The sequence below is a fragment of the Homo sapiens genome, chromosome 6, assembly GCF_000001405.40.
Source record: "Homo sapiens chromosome 6, GRCh38.p14 Primary Assembly".
Classification (NCBI taxonomy): domain Eukaryota; kingdom Metazoa; phylum Chordata; class Mammalia; order Primates; family Hominidae; genus Homo; species Homo sapiens.
The window spans coordinates 135,280,026-135,300,653 of record NC_000006.12 but is presented as its reverse complement, the minus strand read 5'-3'; the positions used below and the strand labels follow the sequence as shown (position 1 = coordinate 135,300,653).

The window sequence follows — 20,628 nt, the reverse complement described above, 5'->3', positions numbered from 1 at the left end:
ATTCAGGAAGTTGGTGGGTTTTCAGCATGTGAATATTGACTGTGTTGTCTTTTCTCATTTTTTACTTACTACTTGTTTTTCCTCTTCTTCCACAGCAATCAATCAATAAGAACAAGTCCCAGGACTTCAGACTAGGCTCAGAATCTATGACACAGTAAGCAACTTCTTCAAAATAATTTGCAGTGATAAATGGTTGGGGTTTTCTTTTAAGGATAATTTCTCCATTTCTTATTTTTATAACATTATCAAACTATAAGTTAAATTTCAGATAGTTGATTTTAAAGGAGTTTAGCTTGTTTACGATTTTTTTTTCTTTTTTTTTTTTTTTGGAGACAGAGTCTTGCTGTGTCACCCAGGCTGGAGTGCCGTGGCACAATCTCAGCTCACTGCAACCTCCACCTCCTGGGCTCAAGCAGTTCTCCTGCCTCAGCCTCCCAAGTAGCTGGGATTACAGGCACGCACCTCCGCACCCAGCTAATTTTTGTATTTTTAGTAGAGACAGGGTTTCACCATGTTGGCCAGGCTGGTCTTGAACTCCTGACCTCAGGTGATCCACCTGCCTCGGCCTCCCAAAGTACTGGAATTACAGGCATGAGCCACCATGCCTGGCTGTTTAAACAATGAATATTTTAATAGTTGGACTCTGAGAATGTGTATTATTACAAAGTTATAAGAAATCCTATTAAACTAGTATCACACAAAACTTTAGAGGACCTATTTTGTCATTTATTTTTATTTGAGTACTATTTTGAAATAACATTAACTGAAAACAAGTGAACGTGTATTAAAAGTAAAATTATGAATGCCTTTTTTGAAGCATTAAGAAAAAAGCTAATAAGCAGAACATTGTCATTATATATTTTCTATAAATGCTTAATGTATTTGGGTAATTTATTTTGAAGTATTTATTTTAAAAGAACTCTGGAAAGTTTTTATATTTTTAATTAGTACTTGCTGTGTCACTTAATGTACCCATCAAAAGTCACTCTTTTGCCTCAAAAAAAAATTTTACATCAAAACATTCCCAACATATTTCTCAATTTTTATCATTTTCAGTTATCTTTTGGACCTAACATTATGTCCAAACTTTATATTCAAATTACATTACTAACAAAATATAACGGAAGTGTGACAGCATTGAACAGCTTAGCTATCATACCCTCCCATCCCATCACCACCACCCCCACGTACATTGCTGGGTGCTTGCTTACTCACACATGCACACAGACAATCCCTGCTGAGCTTCCTTGGGGAAAATATTTGTTCAAGTTAACCCTGCTATATGCTTTGGCAATTTGAAGAATAATATGTCTCTTCCAGTACAAAAATTCTGATTCAGATGACAGTTATTTACAGGAATTGTCTAATAAAATCATGCAGCATTTAACAAGACAGTATTTCATTGTACAGATGAAAGACAAATGTAATTTTTAAGAGTCACAGAATCATGATCTAGAAGATACCTTAGAAATTCTTTCTATAATCTCTCCAGGTTTTATAGTTTCTTGTTTTACTGTTATCAGTCAGATATGTTTTTAGTTCCAGTCTCTGGACATTTAAAATTTTACATAATAGTAGATAAACAGTCACTGACCCTAAGGAGCGTATACTCAACAACAAAATACACTAGAAACAATAAGCACAGACTGTTTCAACAACCAAAAAAAAATGACCATGTTTAACACATCATGGGAACAGTGCTCTTGGTGTCTTTGAACATATTTCATAAAAATTTTTAGAACTTTTTACTTAATATTACGCAAATGAAAAAATGTCTCCTACATACTCCTCACTCGGTCTACATTTCATACCAGTTTTCACGAGATACAGAGATCCATGTCATGCCCTCCAGATTAAAGTTCAATAAAACCTCACAAACATCTCAGCTTCTAAAGGATGTCAGTATAGCTCAGCTTCTCTTTTTGAAGATGCTTCTGAAAATAAAAATTTTCATGAGAAGTTCAGATATGTCTAAATGCCCAAGTTCATCTAAAGCTTTTGGACTTTCCCTACTTACAATTTCTTAGAAGTAAGGATGAATTAAGATAGATTTCTCATGACTTGAAAACTGTAGGCGAGTTGATGGTGGAAACACTAGAGCCCAGCATGTACAAAGAAGTCATTTCTTTGATTTACCTAAATGAGTTTCTTGTACCCAAGTAAATGGACAGAGGCTAATTTTTTGTTTCTTTGCAGCCCTGCCTTTGAGTTTGTAACTTTTGCTTATTAGTTGGTTGACCAATATATGTAAATGAGCCACATAGACAGCCTCTTACTACTTTCCACTTGAATTTCTTGTCTTGTTTTTTTGTTTTTTTTTTTTTTTGAGAAATGTCAGTCACTTCTATGCAAGCAATTTATACACATTTTAGTAAAGTTACATTCTCTTTTTTAAGGTATCTAGAAGAAACTTCTATTGGTTAATTTAACAAAAGTATTTTCCTGAAAATCTTAAACTTCTACATTTTGTACCGCATGCCCTGTGATGTTCTTCATATATTATCTGCTGCCTAAGTCAGAGTTGGTAATGAGGCTGCTATAAATATGCTGTCATCCTTAACAAGTAGTATTAATGTTCCATAGTTAACTAATATAGCCTGTATTGAATTTTGTTGGGTTTTTTTTAACATAGCAACCTTTATTTCATTAACAGCTTTGTTCAGAGAGAGGTTAATTCATATAGTTAATCATATTAAAGTCTTATTAACCCTGAAATCTGAACTAAATGAATGAAATCTCTTCTTAATATGGTGCGGCTATAAATGTCAATTCCAAGCATCCTGTCACTCCACTGTATATTTTTTTCCATCTTTATAATAACCATTCCAGGCTCTTTCATTTCTCTTTATGAGGAGGTAGTTTATAGTCCACATTTTTTTTTCTAAAATAATCCTGCTACTTGCCACTTTTCTTCTAAATTTTTACTTTTATTATCCGTTTTCTGCCTTTTTTTAATCCTCATCCTACCCCCAATTTCTAAAATTAAAGGCATTTATTGTCATGTGTGTGACCTCACAGTGTGCCCAGCAGTGAGCTAGATGCATTGAGAGATATTAAAGAAGCATTACAGGTCAGATGAGGAAATAGAAATAAGAAGCATTTAGAAGGCAACCAATTATATAATTAGGTGCAAAATGATGTGATGCAAATTGTAATTACAGAAGAGAGCTGAATGAGAAGGCAGGAGGAATATGCATAGCTAGAGAAGGCCTCTAGATAAAGGTAAGGCTTGAGTTTTTGTCTGCCTCATGGGAGGGCATTTGGATGTGATGTGGGAAAGAACTAGTTTAAAGGAGCATACGGCTATGAAGAGAGGGGAGAGAGTGGGAGGAGACTGACTGATTAGTGTCTTGGAGTTGGGGAATTGCAGTGGGAGAAAAAAACAGGATAGAGATTGTGGCTCTAGAAGAATGCAATGTGAGTGTCTTGAGGGCATCTGATGATTGGAAGGTGGGGCCAGGAGACATGTCTTGCTGTATTTGCCCAGCATTTTACATGAGCCTGAGCAAACATTATTTGTCTGTATCAAGAATTTGGTCTTGTCCTAGACCTCGATGCTACTGCCATAAAGAGGAAGGGTCAGGATTAGCCTTTGAAGGTGTCAGTAGTTCATTTGTGAGCATCAGTCCAATTGGGAAAATGTGATCATCTGCTCTCTGTTCTAGGTGCTATACTAGGTACTGAAATGCAGTGATGAATGATATGATACACAACTTGTACATTGTGGAAGTGCCCAGTGTGGCAAGGAAGACAGACACGTAATAGTCATTTGCTAAATATAGATTTGCTGAGCACCTACAGTGTCACACACAGTGTTCTAGGCACTGAGGGTACAGCAGTAAACAGATAAAAAATCCCTGCTATAAGGAGCTAACATTTTATTTACCTATATGCAAAATAAGTAAAATGTCTAATTATACCAGATGTGTGCTACAGTATGGAGAAAAATAAAGCATGGGTAGGGGAAAGGAAAGGAGACATGAAGGTTGCAGTTGTAAATCGGAGCATGAGAGAAGGCCTGAGAAAAGTGGAAGGAGGCAGGGAATTGAGTAATGTGAGTATGTAGAACACAAGTGCAGCGGGCCCTGAAGCAGAAGCATACCTGTTACCCTCAAAGAAAAGTAAGGAAATTAGGCTTTTTAGAGTAGAGTAAGAAACTGGGAGAGATTGGATAAAATCAGAGACAGTAATAAGACCTTATATACTATTATAAGACTTCTGGCTTTTACACCAAGTGAAGTAGGAAGCCATTAAACACAGGAAGTGACCTAACAATTTAACAGAATCCCTCTGACATTTAAGATAAGAATAGACATTAATGGACAAGGGTTGAATCAGAGAGACCAGTTAAAATAATATTGAAATTATCCAGGTGAGACTTGGTGGTGGTGCCTCGGAAAAAAGTGGGAGCCATGAAGTTAGTGAAAAGAGGTCAGATTTTATGTATGCATATATATTTCTAACTTATAAAGAGATACACTTGATATAAAATAAATTGCGGCCAGGCGCGGTGGCTCACGCCTGTAATCCTAGCACTTTGGGAGGCCGAGGCAAACGGATCATCTGAGGTCAGGAGTTCGAGACCAGCCTGGCCAACATGGTGAAACTTTGTCTCTACTAAAAATACAAAAAAATTAGCCGGACATGGTGGCAGGCGCCTGGAATCCCAGCTCCTCAGGAGGCTGAGGCAGGAGAATCGCTTGAACCCGGGAGGTGGAGATTGCAGTGAGCCGAGATCGTGCCACTGCACTCCAGCCCGGGAGACAGAGTGAGACTCCATCTCAAAAAAATAAAATGAAATTAAATAAAATAAACGGTTTAAGTTTCGACATGGGTAAATACCCATGAACCATCACCACAATTAAGGTAATGAGCATACCCATCTCTCCAAGACTTCTGATGCTCTTTTGTAATTTTGCCCTCCTACATCTTTCTTCCCTTCCCTGAGCCACATCCCCTGATAATCACTGATCTACTTTCTCTCACTGTCTAGAGTTTTAAATACCACAGTTTGTTTATTCATGTACCTTTGTGGATGGACCTTTGAATCATTTCCACTTTGCGGCTACTACAAATAAAGTTAATGTCAACATTTATGTACAAGTTTTTGTGGCTACTACAAATGAAGCTAATATCAACATTTATATACAAGTCTTTGTGTGAACATAGGGGTTTTTTTTGTTTGTTTAACATCATATCACTGAAAGAGGCATTGAAGAAGGTTATGCTTTCATTTTTCTTGGGTGACATCTTGAAGTAGAATGGCTGGACTATATAGTTGGTTTATGCTTAACTTTTTAAGAAACTGCCAAATTGTTTTCCATACGGTTTTACCTTTTTACAGTCCTACCAACATGTATGAGTTCTGCTTCCTCACCAATACTTGATATGGTCAGTCCTTCTAATTTAGCCATTCCAATACATGTAGAGATATATCATTGTTGTTTGATTTTGCATATCCCCAACAACTAATGATGTTAAGCATCCTTTGATGTGCTTACCTTCTATGCATACATCTTCTTTGGTGAAATTTCTGTTCAAATCTTTTGCTCATTTGTAATAGGTTATTTGTTTTATTAAATTTTAAGAGTCATTTATATATTCTAAATATGTTCTTTATCAACTATGTGATTTTCAAATATTTTTCCTGATCTGTGTTTTGCCTTTTTATTCTTTTAGCAGTGACTTTTGAAGAGCAAACTGTTTTTTACTTTGTTGAAGTTCCGTTTACCAAAATTTTTCTTTTACAAATCATGCTTTAGTATAATATCTAAGAAACCTCTGCCAACCCAAAGCCACTAAAGTTTTCTCTTATATTTTCTTGTAGAAGTTTTATAATTTTTTATTTAAGACTATGAATTGTTTTCAGTTAGTTTGTATGTGTGATATGTGATGTGAGTTTTGGATCAGAGTTTATTTTCTTTTTTTTCTTTTTCTTTTTTTTTTTTTTTTTTTGCATTTGGAGATCCTGTTGTTCTAGCATCATTTGTTGAAAAACAACTCTGTCTCAACTGAATGGCCTTTGCACCTTTGCTGAAATCAGCTCTTAATATATATGTGGGTCTGTTTATGGTCTATCTATTATTTTTCTATTTCTCTTTTGGTTTTTTTTGGGGGGAGGGTTGTTTGTTTGTTTGTTTGTTTTGAGGCAGAATCTCCCTTTGTCATCCAGGCTGGAGTGCAATGGCGTGATCTTGGCTCACTGCAACCTCTGCCTCCAGGGTTCAAGCAGTTCTCCTGCCTCAGCCACCCAAGTAGCGTACACCACTACACAAGCTAATGTTGGGTGTTTTGTTTTGTTTTGTTTTGTTTTGTTTTGTTTTGTTTTGAGATGGAGTCTTGCACTGTCACCCGGGCTGGAGTGCAATGGCATGATCTCGGCTCACTACAACCTCCGCCTCCCGGGTTCAGGTGATTCTCCTGCCTCAGCCTCCTGAGTAGCTGGGATTACAGGTGCACACCACCACACCCAGCTAATTTATTGTATTTTTAGTAGAGATGGGGTTTCACTATGTTGGCCAGGCTGTTCTCAAACTCCTGGCCTCAAGTGATCCACCCGCCTCAGCCTCCCCAAGTGCTGGGATTACAGGTGTGAGCCAAGGCACCCAGCCCATTATTTTTCTATTCCTCTGTCTTTATGCTACTACCACATTATTTTAATTACTGAGTAGTTTTGTAGTATGTCTTGAAATCAGGTAATATTAGTCCTCCAACTTTGTCCTTTTCAAATTTGGTTTGGCTATTTAATATTTAGGGTTCTTTCCATTTCCACGTGAATTTTAGAATTAGCTTATCAATTTCTATAGCATATTCCAATTGATATTGCATTTAATCCAGATACTAATTTGGAGAGAATTGACATTTTAACAATATTCAATCATCTGAGTCATTAACATGATATATCTTTGCATTTATTTACAACTTCTTTAATTTCTCTTGGTAACATTTTTTAGTTTTCAATGTATAGGTCTTGGACATACAGTGTATAGGTCTTTGGTTGATTTATTCCTACATGTTTCATATGTAAATGGTATTGTCGCTAGTTTATAGAAATACTACTGATTATTGTATGTTGATCTTGTTTTATGCGAACCTACTAAACTCACTTGTTAGTTGTAATAGCTTTTAGTGGATTCCACGAGATATTCTGTGTAGACAGACAATCGTGCAAATAAAAGACAGTTTTCTTTCTTCACAATCTGGGCGCCTTTTCTTTCTTTCTTTTTTTCTTTTTTTTTTTTTTTTTTCTTTTTTTTTTTTTGCCCTGTTAACACTGGGTAGAACCTCTAATACAATGTTGAATAAAACTAGTCAGAATAGACATTCTTGTCTTGTTCCTGATCATGTGGGAAATGAATAGGAGCATTTGATCTTTTACCATGAAGTATGATGTTATTCTAGGTTTTTTATAAATGCCCTTTATTAGGTAGTTTCCCTTTCCTAAGAGTTTTTGTCAGGAATAGATGTTTGATTTCTCAAACATGTTTTTGCATTAGTTAAGTAATCTATGGTTTTTGTTTTTAAATTTCTTAATATGGTGAGTTACACTGATATTCAAATGTTAAACCAACTTCGCGTTCCTCGGATAAAACCTACTTAGTGGTGTGTTATCCTTTTTATAAAGGATAGTGCTTGTTGAATTTGATGTGCTAAAATTTCCTTTAGAACTTCTTGCATTTTGTTCATGAGAAATATGGGTCTGTAATTTTTTTGTAACATCTTAAGCTGATTTTGATGAGGAGATAATGCTGGCTTCATGGAACAAGTTGGGAAGTATTCCCACCTCTTCAATTTTCTAGAATAGTTTGTGTAGATTTAGTATTACTTCCTCCTTGTGTAATTTCTATTTCTTTATTCATATTCTCTATTTCATGAGACATTGCTCATACATTAGTTCTTTATACATATTTCCTTTAGTTCTTTGAACACATTTTTAATTACGGATTTTAAGTCTTTGTCTAGTAAGGCCAGTGTCTGGGCTTCCTCGGGAACAGTTCTGTTCATTGCTAGTGGGAATAAACACTGTTCCGGGCCTCAAGTGATTTTCCCAGATGTGTGCACTCATCAGTTCACTGCTGGATACTTGAGGGGGACCTTTTGCAGATCTTCATCGTCTGTGGCTCAGTATCTTGAAAATTGTTGTTTCATGTGTTTTGTTCAGGTTTGTTGTTGTTGTTTTAGACAAGAGGTAAATGTGGTTCCTCCTACTCTATCTGGGCTACAAGCAAAGGTCTAGATGTTCTATGTATTTTCAAGGTAGCCTTTTGATAGATTGTATATAGATTGTGAGAGATAAAAGAAGAAAGAGGATCACTACAGTCTGATCTTCCTAGAGTGGGCTTTAGTGGTCAGAGAAAGCCAAAGATGAAGACAGAATTTAAGACCATATAGACACGACGGGGTAAACAAGAAGAATAGGGCCTAGAAGTCAGGAGCTAAGGCACAAAAGTAGGGCAGTGCCTGGGATACCCTCAGACCAGCAAGTATCCATGGGGTCTTTGTGTGTGTGTGTTTGTGTATGTGTGTGTGTGTGTGTGTGTGTGTAATTAGCTGCCCAGATATTTACATATTTCACCTAAAAGAAATACAGATTTCTGACTTCTTGAAAATAATCCAGAGTTCTGGACCACAGCTCTACATTCTTTGATGACATCCATCAATGAGCTGAGATAGACTGCCTCCTTTAGATGAGTCATCCATTCTCCAGTTTGCCACAGTCCATTGTATCGTTGTCTCTGCTGTATTATCTTTGGCTTGCTTCCCTTATTCACCTTATCAGTCTAGAATATAGATTCCTTGGAAATAAGGCCAAAAGGGTACACTTCAGAAAGATTAAGATTGTGTGCTATCAGTGCTTTTTTTCAGAGCTTAACCTTTCCTTTGTTCTTTTATCATTCTATCTAAATTTACTGTCCTTTCTTCTTTGTAATTTCTGACCTTTTCATTCTCAGTCATCTGACTTCATTTCACTTACTTACACATTTCTTCATTAGTCTATTCAGGGTGCCACAGAGAATACCACAGACTTCATTGCTTAAACTACAGAAACTTATTTTCACACAGTTCTGGGGGCTAGAAGTCCCAAGATCAAGGTGCCAGCAGGATTGGTTTCCCGTGAGGCCTCTCTTCCTGGCTTGGAGGTGGCTGCCTTCTTGTTGTGTCCTCACATGGCCTCTTCTCTGTGCAAAAAGAGCACGCTCTGGTTTCATCTTTCCATCTTCTAAGGACTCTAGTCTTATTAGATTAGAACCCCACTCTTCTGACCCCATTTAACCTTAGTTATCTCCCTAGAAGCCCCTGTCTCCAAATGCAGTTACATTAGGAGTTCAGGTGTCAACATGTGAATTTTGGGGAAATATCATTTGGTTCACAAGAATCTCTATTCAGTCCTATTTAATACCTGATTTTGAAATTCTTGTATCTTTTTCAAGCTCCTCTGTGGTGTTTCTCACCATTCCTAGACAACTTAGAAGATACTCTGTTCCATTCTTCAGTTTTCCTTTTTTTTTCATTGTTTTTGTGTTTTCTTTCTCCTAATATAAAGTGCATTACTACACACTCATCCACAAAACATTTGTTTTATATTTTGCTATTGCCATTGAATCATTTGGAAAGCTACATTGTTCATTCCACAGATCAGGATGTTACAGCTTTCTTATATATAAATTTCCTTCATTTCTTTTCTTGTCATGAATGAATGTCCTATACTTTTGTGTGTGTGTGTGTGTGTGTGTGTGTGTTTGTGTGTGTTTCCACCTAAGTTGATAGAACTTTCTGATTTTTCCCAGGCATCTAATATTTTTCTGAGACAGATGAAATTTATTTTATTCTGTAAGTCCACAGATAATTGTTTAAGATTTTGAAATTTATTTTATTCTTGTCCCTTTATCATGGCTAAGAAGGAGCCCAACCAGCCAAAGGTTTGTCTGTTAACGTTATTTTAAGCAATTCCTTGTCTCTCATCCCCGTGTATACTCATTAGTTCTGCCGGATGTTTTTCTCTGTCATATCCTCACATTTATCCCCATTTTTGTTTCCACTGCCACGGCCCTAGATCAAAGCCTCATCTGAGCTTTTAGCTCAGCTCTCTTTTACTGGCTCCTTGTTTCTGATCTTTCCCTCCTATAGTTCTGAAATGAGAAAAGAACAGAGCCATGAGGACCAAGGACACATAATGGATACACGGATGAGGAAGAACAAGCAAGCAGGCAGAAAAGTCACTCTAATAGAGGTAAGGGGAAAACCAATAGAAAGTTGCGCTATGTTGTCAACAGGAAAAGATTTAGGAAAGCATGGTCAGCAAGGACAAATACCAGAGAGAGGCAAGTAAAATAAGGACTGACAAGTCCCATTTGGGATCTGTAACCGGGAGGCCATTTGCGACCTTGGAGAAGATAGTTTTGATGGAGAAACCTGGAAGCATAAATCAGATTGTCTCCAGCCCAAAGGGAAAAAGACTGTAAGAATAGTCTTATTCTCTTTAGAAGCTGGAATTTAAAGGAAAGAAAAAGCTAGGCAGTAACTAGTGGAAAACACAGGGTATAGACAAGATCTTTATAAAGAGGGGAATGACAAGAATATTTACAAACTGAGAGGAAAGAGCCACTTGAGAAGGAGCCATCTGCGGTGTCGGAGCAGAGTGATAGTCCCTGGGGGCCTAAGGAACTCCAGAGGATTACAGCTCAAGAGTGGGCCACTTTTTCCACCGAGATACGCCAGTGGGAAAATGTGTTTGGATGGTAGGGGTTGGGGTATAGGGAAGGCCTGCCAGAAGGCCTTTTCTCTATTAAGTAGAAGTGAAGTTTCTGTTCAAGGTGAAATGTTACGAAGCTGTTCATGTCCACATTTATAAATTTGTCATTTTGTAGGAACTAGAGTCAAAATTTTCATATTTTTATTTTTCCATTGTAGAAAACTAAAATCTAATTGTACAGAAGCATATAGATGCATAGTTATGTAATCATGGGCTAAGGAATTATTTTTAACCTTGATACCAGAATTGGAAAACATTATAAAACAGATTCTTAAATAATGGAAACTTTAAAATTATGCAGGTCAAAAAGAAAAAAAGTCATAGAATTTTTAAATGAACAATAACCTGGGATGGAAGAGATTTACCCATGGAAGAGTAATACTCTTTTTTTTGTTGTTGTTGTTGTTTTGAGACGTCTTGCTCTGTCACCCAGCCTAGAATGCAGTGGTGCAATCTCAGCTCACTGCAGTCTCCACCTCCCGGGTTCAAGTGATTCTCCTGCCTCAGCCTCCCGAGTAGCTGGGACTACAGGCACGTGTCACCACACCCAGCTAATTTTTGTATTTTAATAGAGTCAGGGTTTTGCCATGTTTCCCAGGCTGGTCTTGAACTCCTGACCTCAAGCCATCCACCTGCCTCAGCCTCCCAAAGTGCTGGGATTACAGGCGTGAGCCACCGCACCTGGCCAGGAGTAATACCCTTAACAAATAAAAAGCTCTAAGAGGAGCTTTTTCAACAAGAAAAAAAATACACCAGTAGAAAAACGGGACAAAGATATACACAGGACATTCTTAAAGGATTCTTAAAGGGATAAATATAAATGGCAACAGACATATGAAAAATGTTTACCATCCATTGATCAAATTAATGAAAATTAAAACAATAAAATGAGATGGTATTTTACCCTTTCAAAATGACAAGTTTCAAACTTATGATACATACCTAGTATTGATGAGAAAATGGGATGTGGATTCCCGCTTACACTGCTGGTAATACTATAAGATTGATCCATTCTTTGTGAAGTATAATTAGGTAATATGTTAGGGTTTTTTTTTTGTTTTGTTTTGTTTTCAAAATGTGCATCTCTTTGACCTGACAGTTCAACTTCAAGGAATCTCTTATAGGAAAGTATTCAAGTATACATGGAGAGATTTAGTTAAAAGGCTACTCCTTCGAGCAGTGTTTTTAAAATAAAGGGTTGATTAAAATATGAAATATTTATATAACAGAATATCATATGGTTATTCATCATATTATGGAAGTATTTTTATGGACATGAAAAGATGTTTATGATTTTTAAGTAAAAAATGATTATAAAATAGTTTATATAATATACATCAAAAGACATGAATAATTATCTGAGTAGTAAGATTATGGTAATTTTTTTCTTCTATTTTAACTTTGTGCATTTTCTAATTTATCTACTTACTGTATATTTACTACTTGATCATTTCTTTCAAAATGAATGTAATTTTTAGAAATTTTCTAATACAGCGTGTTGTTTCTACATTTAAAGAAACCAAGGTTTCAAAGTTACAGCTACAAAGTACCTGAACTAGGAATTAATCTTCTTGCCCCAAGTTCAGGGCTGTTTCTCTTACACATTGCTTTGTATATTAACTCTGATTAGATGGCCAGTGCTTCCAGTCAGGGGCTATTATTTAATACATACTCACATTTTTTTCCTCCCCTGCACTTAGCCTGGTGTCTTGCCACAGAAGTAAACCTTCAGGAAAGATCTATTGGATTGAATGTCTTGTGGGGTAAGGTCCAGGTTTTTTTGTTGTGTTTTGTTTTTGTTTTTTTGAGAGGGAGTCTTGCTGTGTTGCCCAGGCTGGACTGCAATGGTGCGATCTTGGCTCACTGTAACCTCCACCTCCTGGATTCAAGTGATTCTCCTGCCTCAGCCTCCCGAGTAGCTGGGATTACAGGCACCCACCACCACACCTGGCTAATTTTTGTATTTTAGTAGAGATGGGGTTTCACCATGTTGGCCAGGCTGGTCTCAAACCCCTGACCTCAAGTGATCACCCGCCTCAGCCTCCCAAAATGCTGGGATGACAGGCATGAGCCACCATGCCCGGCCACGGCCCGGTATTTTTATGAATCTTATTCCCCAGACATAACATACACACAAACACTAACCTAGTTTCATACTTGTTTTCATAAGCTTGCTAAGAAGAATGTTTCTTTCTCTTTTCATCACAAGAGCCTTTAAAAAGGGCTTTGCTTCGTTACTTTCTTCCTCTGTTAGATTACAGAGATACTTTATGAGAAGATAGAGAAGGAATGGCTTTGCATTTATCCTTGTCTTTTGGTTAGATGTCTTCTCCTCCCTCTTTCAGCACATCCCTGCTGTCTCCTAGCTTTCAGGTCCTTTTGCTGTTAGCGTTCATCAAGCCAGTGTGCCACTCTTGATTTTCCTCCCATCGTCAGGAGGAGCCGCCAGTGTCCGAAGGGTGCACATGACCATCTTTATTCTGTCTCTTTTCTCCCTTTTATGCGCCATCTTTGTCATTCTCTATCCAGTGTGTTTCTTCCTCTTCTGAGTCTGAATCATTTCCCTCAAAGATGTTATCTTTGCTGCCTACTTTAGATTTTTCGAGTTGAATTTCTCTTTGGGTTCTTCTCCTGAAGGTCCGTCTGGCTTCTCTGTTTACTTCTCACAGTGCAGTCACCACCTGATTGATTTCACTTGTCCTACATCTTCTGCACGTGCAGGATCCATCTCACTAATTTCCAGCTGTTCTTCTCCCCTTCTCCCCCTTCCCTTTTCTGTTTTTCTTCTTCTTTTTTGTCCTCCCACTAACATGAACTCTTCCTCTCACTTTGTTTTGCCTTATTCTTCCTGTAAGATCCTTTACCCTCCTCACTGCCTTTTGCAGAAGTTTATATGTCTCTCTGTGACTTTAGCCCAGCCTTCATTGAAACTACTTTCTTTTCCATTTTTATCAGATCCTAATTTGGTGAAAGTTTTACGTACTTTTTCTGTATATGTACAGGGAGACTTTTTTTGCCCCTAGTGGTATTATACCTTGGCATGCCGTATTCTGTACCATTTTTATACTCAACTTCATGTGCATTCATGAGCTTCACTAGAACGTATTTTTGGGCTTCTATATATGATACAAGCTTACCTGGAGTAGCTCTGTTTAACAAATTTAAAATCAAGAAACATCAAGTGATAAAGAATTTTTGCCCCTCATGTGTAAATGTGTTTTATATGAAAAGATAGTGCGACCATTGATTTAAGATTGGGCCTGTTCCTTAAAGCACAGGTGTCCCCTACACCTCCTGTGCCCCCAGGGAAAGCCCTTCAGGAATGGTTAGCCATTGCCCTTTCTTGCCACAGTGTGCCAGCTGTCACTTTTCTCAGGAGTGGTCGATGGAGTTGACTGCTACCTTAACCAGATTTGCCATCGTTCTGAAACTGCCGTGTGTTTTCTAAGGACAACCAGGTGTTAAGCCTTTCTCTTTAGAAGAAGGACAGTAACCTTTCTGTGTAAGTCCAGAACTTATCAATGCTGTATGAATGATTGCATTAAAAAATGTTAGGTTTAGCCCCACTAATTTATCTCACACTAGTTGTAGTGCAAATACTACATGCTGTCTAAGGAAGCAACTTCTTGTTTCATCTGCATATTGGTTCTTGATTTTTATGAATTGTATAATTTGTTTTACATCAAAGCCACATCTGGATGCTTGATTGTTACTATCTTGGTCAAAAATGAGACAGCCCATTTTTTAATTGATTTGAAAAATGTAATAACCTAATTATATAAAAGTAGGCATAGCCATAGACTAAATGAAAGAATGCTATTTAATAAAATTATCTGTATCCTTCCGAATCACTAACCCTGAATATCATCCATGAGGACTTTTTTTCCCATTCAATGAAGAATTTCATATACTCTGATTGCCTGCTCTTCATTTCTGGAAGTTACTTATGGTTTGGAGTTTTTAGTGTCTATATTTGGGGATTTTATTTCTTTCTTGCTTACATTAACCTGTCAATGCAGGAGCAGGCCTTAAACAATTGCTAATGATACAAAAAGATGCTAACAATGTTTGAGAGGCAAACTAGAAGATAGGAAATTAGTATTTTGGTCTTTTTTAGTTGTGTTTGTATGTGTTTGTGTTTTACACAATGTCCTTTATTACCTGTGCTGTTGCCTGAGCACACTAAGATTTGGTTGTAGTCAGAAGACATTATTCAAGTTTATTTAGTACATTTTGTGTATTTTTCTTTCCAGTAAAGAATTGAAGAAAAGTTAAGAGCTGCCGAAATGCACAGAGGTGAAAATGACAAACCAAATGGAATTTCTCTTCAGAGTTCAGAATTTTCAGATACTAAGGAGGAAGAAAGGATCCACTACTTCTTGTTCTTATGAATGACTCTAGAAAAATCAGAATCAAGTTGTGGGTGGAAAAATCAACGTGGCCTTTGAGTTCAGTTGTTATAAACCATTGTGACTATTGTTGGTCAAAGTATTGGTACTTATATTGTTAGTAATTGCATCATAATTACATTACCAGTGTTGGAAAACTAATGAAGAAAACACTGTAATTGCTACTCAGCAAATGTGAATAAAAGGTGTTTGCGTTATTAGGATGTCTGTTAAGTAATCATTTAATATTATTATATTGGTAATGGTTGTATGTGTGATGCTATGCCCAGAATATGAAGTATCTGTTTTTGAAATTCACTTTATTTAAAAGATAAGCAGCTGACTGGGCACGGTGCCTCATGCCTGTAATCCTAGCACCTTGGGAGGCTGAGGCAGGTGGATCACCTAAGGTCAGGAGTTCAACAACACCAGCCTGACCAACATGGTGAAACCCCATCTCTACTAAAAATACAAAAATCAGCCGGGTCTCATGGCAGGCACCTGTAATCCCATCTACTGAGGCAGGAGAATTGCTTGACCCAGGAGGCAGAGGTTGCAGTGAGCCAAGATCACGCCATTGCACTCCAGCCTGGGGGACAGAGCAAGACTCTATCTCCAAAAAACAAAAAAGATAAGCAGCTTTAGAATATGGCGCATTCAAAACAGTCTCAGTAACAAAGACATTAAAAGAAAACAATTTACTTTCTAATTAAAATTTTGTGTTTCTTAAGATCAAATCATATAGGTAACTTCATAGACCTAAATTAAAAGTGATTTTTGGCTGGACTGGCAACAATGTTCCCAATGTCTTTACTTTTTAAAAAAGGCTTTTCATATTTAAGCACATACCTATTTTGTAGACTTACATTGTTTAATATTTATTTTAATCTTAATATTTTTACATTATTATATTGCATTATTTATTTTTTCTAAGTTCCAGAATAATAGTGTCATTATTATAGACTATATGTTTTGAAGTTTGATATTATAATGGGATATTCATTTTTTGTTCTTTTCTTGACTCCTTTCTCAAGTGTGTGATAAGGTCTGCTGATAAAATATTTAACCCCAAGAAAGTGAAAACTAATATAAAATTAGAAAGACCTATCCAAATTAGACAGTCAATTCCATTAAAATAAGAAGTGAGAAAAACAATGTTGGGCATTGAGGTGTAAATTTTGCCCAGATGTATACCCAGTGTGAAATATCTTCTAATAAAAATATATTTGGCTCTTATCCCTGCACATGTAGAGGCATAAAAATTGGTAAACATGTCCCGCTGTGTAGAACTTTAAAAAAAAGGCATTTTTGAAAGTGTTGAGTGGCACTGATAACTGGTGAAGCCTACAGCCATCCGCCCAAAAGTCTGTTCTGATGGCACTGAGTTTTCATTGTTCTGGATGTATAAGTCTGTGTGTCAGGTACAGCTGGGCCCAGCCAGCTTGAGTCACTCTTGTACAAGCTTGTTTTTTTCTGTCTTGTGAATGCACTTGATAATTTAAAAATAAAAATATCTGTTTCTCTGCAGTTTCAGCTAATAATTTTGAGATATGTGTTGATTTTCTGATTGAATCACCAAGAATTTCAACAAGTTTAGAAATAATTTAAGATGAATGAAAAATATGTCAGGGGGAGCTAAGCATTTGCTAAGCTCTTGATGTTTATATGAAAAATAAAGGGTTGTTTTTATATTGCAACTACTAAAGAGAAAAATAGCAGTTGAAGCAAACACCAGGAAAATTTGGCTCTACTGAAAGCCCAGTCCTTTTCCCCTTTGTCTCGCTGACAAAGTAAGACTAGGGTTATGTTCATGAATAGATTAATAAAAGATGTTTCTTTACCACACAATCTGAGATGAGATGGGGTGGGGGAGATCATGACAGTGCCCTCCAAGCAATAGATCCAGCTGATAATCAAGCAGAAAATCAGACACCAGAATCCATTTGATGATGTACGGCATTAAACATTTCCTTATAACAAATTGGGTTTGTTTTATCTTTATTCTGAAAGTACTGAATTTTATCCCATGTCATCTCTTTTCTCCAAACAAGTAACAATTTGACACTGTCTTCTTCTATATCTAAATAATATTTTTAAACCATTGTTGGAAATGCACTGCCCAGTTATTCATCCAACTCTGTCTTGAAGATTAATGTTTCTTCAGTATTGAAATGATACTATGTATAGGACTTGGAAAGCTAGAATAAAAATCAAGTTTTTAAAAGATTTAAAACATGAAATATTTTACACAGTGAATGCAAATTTATGTTTAAAATGCATATTTTAAATGAAATCAGTGCTTTTAAATGGCTAACGCTTGGTACTTCTGAAATCTTGTGCAGGGTTTCTATCACATACAAATGAATACTTGACCTTAATATTATCTTTAAATTATAGAAGAATTTAATTAAAGAAAGATGTCTTTAGGAAGCTCAGCAAGACTATATTTGAGAAATAACTTACCATTTTATAGCTTCATGTGACATGTTGTCACTTTAGTCATATATTTAGCCACAAATATTTTTAAGAGTTAGGAAGTTCTAGAAACTATAACAAAAGTTTGTGACCTTACACTTCTATGTGTATTCAAATGATTTCCATCTGATGGCCATATCTGTTTAGTGAATTATGGAAACACTTTTAAGCAATCCAAATGTTTTAAGCTATATATTTGTTCGTTTCTATTTAATTGAACTGTACCGAAAATAGTCCCCAAATCCTCACTTTATTATGTACATGACTTCATTTACTCTTCACATCAAATCTATGAGATAGATAAAATCTTCCCTGCTCTAGAACTAAGGAAACCAAGTTCTGAAGGTTAAGTAACTTCTCCAACTGCACAACTCCAGCCACTGCTAGTTGCAAATGGAGATATCAGACTCCACTGGGTGATCTGTAAAGTACTGGATCTCAGTTGCTGTGGAGAGGAAAATGCTGATATTTGGACATGACAACACACACAAGAGTAAGGAAGCAGTTGGCATGTGCCTATGACCACACTCAGGGACTAGAAACATCTCAAATGTTTGTCATTCAACAGTGACCTAAATAAAATAAAATATATCTGAGTGAACTTTTTTTAAAAAAAACTGATCATTTGTTTATCATAATTATTTTAGTAAATCTTTACTCCATACTATAATTATGTTTCCTTAAGAAACAGATTCTGTAGAATCAAACTAATTACATGTACAGTAACATTTTATTCAAGAAACCGAAAAGGCGCCATTCCAGTCATATATGAGAGAATAAAAACATCAAGAAGCATGTCAATCAAAAGGCTGTGTTGACTGGAGAACTCATTCTATGGATGGACACAATTATATGCAGGAGAATTGAATGTCAGCATCATTTAGGGTTAACAATGGACTAACTAGGCAAAAGCAGACAGCTACTCTCTGCCGAGGCCCAGGAAGCAAACTTGGTAATGAGGCACTTCATTCTTCATATCCTTCTGCTCTAATTATTGTGAATAGGAAATACTTTAAGCTAAGGCGGGAACTGGATAACAAAAACATTTGTTTTGTAAACACAAAGAATGCTATTTTTCTAATGATCCCCTTCAAATCTACATCAAGCATATGTTGTGAGCAGTGGGTTTTCTAAAGTTGCTCTTCTAACACCTCAAATTCATACTGATTATAGATGGGTTATTTTCGTCTCGAAAAGCTAGGGAGGCTAATGCTGCTAAGAATCAATTTTAGTTTCTCGTCAATCTAAAAAAGGGATATGTACACCACACATAATTCATGTTCTACCTCTTATCACTTAGGTCAAAATGCTCCAATACATACTTCAGTGTTATTTCTAAAAGTACTAAGCAATATGATTTTTACTCACTGTAGTTCATTTCTTCATAAAAATGATTTGAGCCCAATGAAAGAATAGAAGAAAATTTAAGAATGGTTTCCTTATAAAACATTTATGTAAGTAAACTCAAATATTGCCAATCAAAGGATGATTTCTTAACATTGCTTGGAGTGGAGATGTTAGTGAAGATAAGAAAAAAATAGTCTGAAAGGAGGAAAAAGCAAGAAGTTGAGGAACATAACTTGCTGCCAGGGCAAAAATAAGCAACTGAAGCTTGCGCAAAGCGGTCACAAGACTAAAGGAAGAAGGTTCCCTAGAGAAAAGTTTGGTAGCTTCAGTTTGGTTTTTTGATGTTTTCAGCTGAGAATCAGTAGTTAAGGTGTTTTTTTGGTCTTAAATTTGTTCACAGGGCCATTCTGTATAAATGCTCCACATAACTTTTCCTGAACTATGATTCTTTAATAAAAGTTAAGCACAGTAATGTGTTTAACCATCCCTGCCTATTATACAAAAGTTAATGTTCAGACGTGTCTACTGAAGCTACTTTTAGCAACTAAATATTTCCATGGTGGTAAAGAAATATCAGTAAAATCTATGCACTTTAAGCACATCGAATTCTTATACTTATCATGTGTGCAGGCAGAGTACATAATAAACTAGTCTATAGCAGCTGTAAATTTCTGAGGATTTATCTAACCACAAATACATTGAAATGGGGAAATGGGTCTATATTAAACTATGCAAGATGCTGCTGGAGCGTTGCCATTTCTGCAACATCCTGTAATTAATTTATCATGACAGGTCTGGCAAACTGAAACATCCAATACACTTGCGACAGACTGTTATACTATAGTTGTTAGAGATCCTGTAGTCACATTAAGTGAAGGTAGATTTTTTTTTTGCCTTCATACATGAATATAGGGCTGTTAATATTTAGAGTACCCTGTAGCCAAGGACAGATTGTAATTTTTGAATTTCAAAATAACAATATATAGAATATGGAAAATATCCCAGACTGAAATCATGAGTTCAGTCTTTTCTCTGCCATGTGTGGTCTTTTCCTGAAGAGGGACAGTCCTGGGAAGGGGAACGATACAGTTTGGTCAGCGCTTCCCATGCATGTGTCCCTCGGGCTAGATAGGATGGATTCTCTCCTGGAAGATTTGAAGATCAGTTCTCTCTTGGTTGTCTCTCAAACACATTCTTTTCCTGTAAGCCAAGCTCACAAGACCAGCTTCTGTGTGCCAGCCTCTTCTGGAAGCTGCAGTCCTGCCATTTGCAAACTTAAAGTACAAATGATACAGAAATTATTCCTGCTCCAACCCCATCCAATCCAGAGAAAGAAGAAAATGTAAAGCTTGTGGGGTTTTTGGCCAAAATAGATCCTATCTAACAATATGTTATTTGTTGGTTCATATCAGTGTGAAAGACAGAGCCGCTCTTGACTTGATGTGTGTAATTTGATGCAGGTGAAATAGTGACTGACGCTAAGGATGGAGCTATGTAGTAAACGAGGCTTCTTGCTCCAGGAGTGAAGTGAAGTTACTTCCCATGAAAAGTGAGATCTATATTGTATGACGGTCCACAGCCTTGCCCATTTCCTAGAGAAGATCAGTTTCTCAGTCTACAAACAAGTGGAGTCAAGGGGGTCTGAGAACCTTAAATCTGGACATT

At 36.6% G+C, this 20,628-nt stretch overlaps 1 protein-coding gene across 13 annotated transcripts in view, besides 1 other annotated feature; it reads left to right on the top strand.

Annotated features, from left to right (window-relative positions):
- The window catches only part of AHI1 (Abelson helper integration site 1), a 214,209-nt gene extending 197,087 nt beyond the window's left edge, over nucleotides 1-17,122 (top strand). For 6 of the 13 annotated variants that reach the window (NM_001134830.2, XM_011535911.4, NM_001350503.2 and 3 more), the window contains 3 exons: nucleotides 96-154; nucleotides 10,129-10,231; nucleotides 15,007-17,122. In NM_001134830.2, coding sequence (NP_001128302.1) covers nucleotides 96-154; nucleotides 10,129-10,231; nucleotides 15,007-15,009 — 165 coding nt within the window. In that variant the 3' untranslated portion in view covers nucleotides 15,010-17,122. Of the gene's footprint in view, nucleotides 1-95; nucleotides 155-3,161; nucleotides 3,223-10,128; nucleotides 10,232-15,006 lie in introns of those variants that run through there. The other 7 variants (XM_047418943.1, XM_047418942.1, NM_001350504.2 and 4 more) reach the window with 4 other exon arrangements.
- Nucleotides 17,740-20,094: an enhancer, noted in NCBI's record as "VISTA enhancer hs1351". NCBI's record gives its function as "enhancer in: eye[8/9]" and the evidence as "EXISTENCE:transgenic organism evidence [ECO:0001131][PMID:17130149]".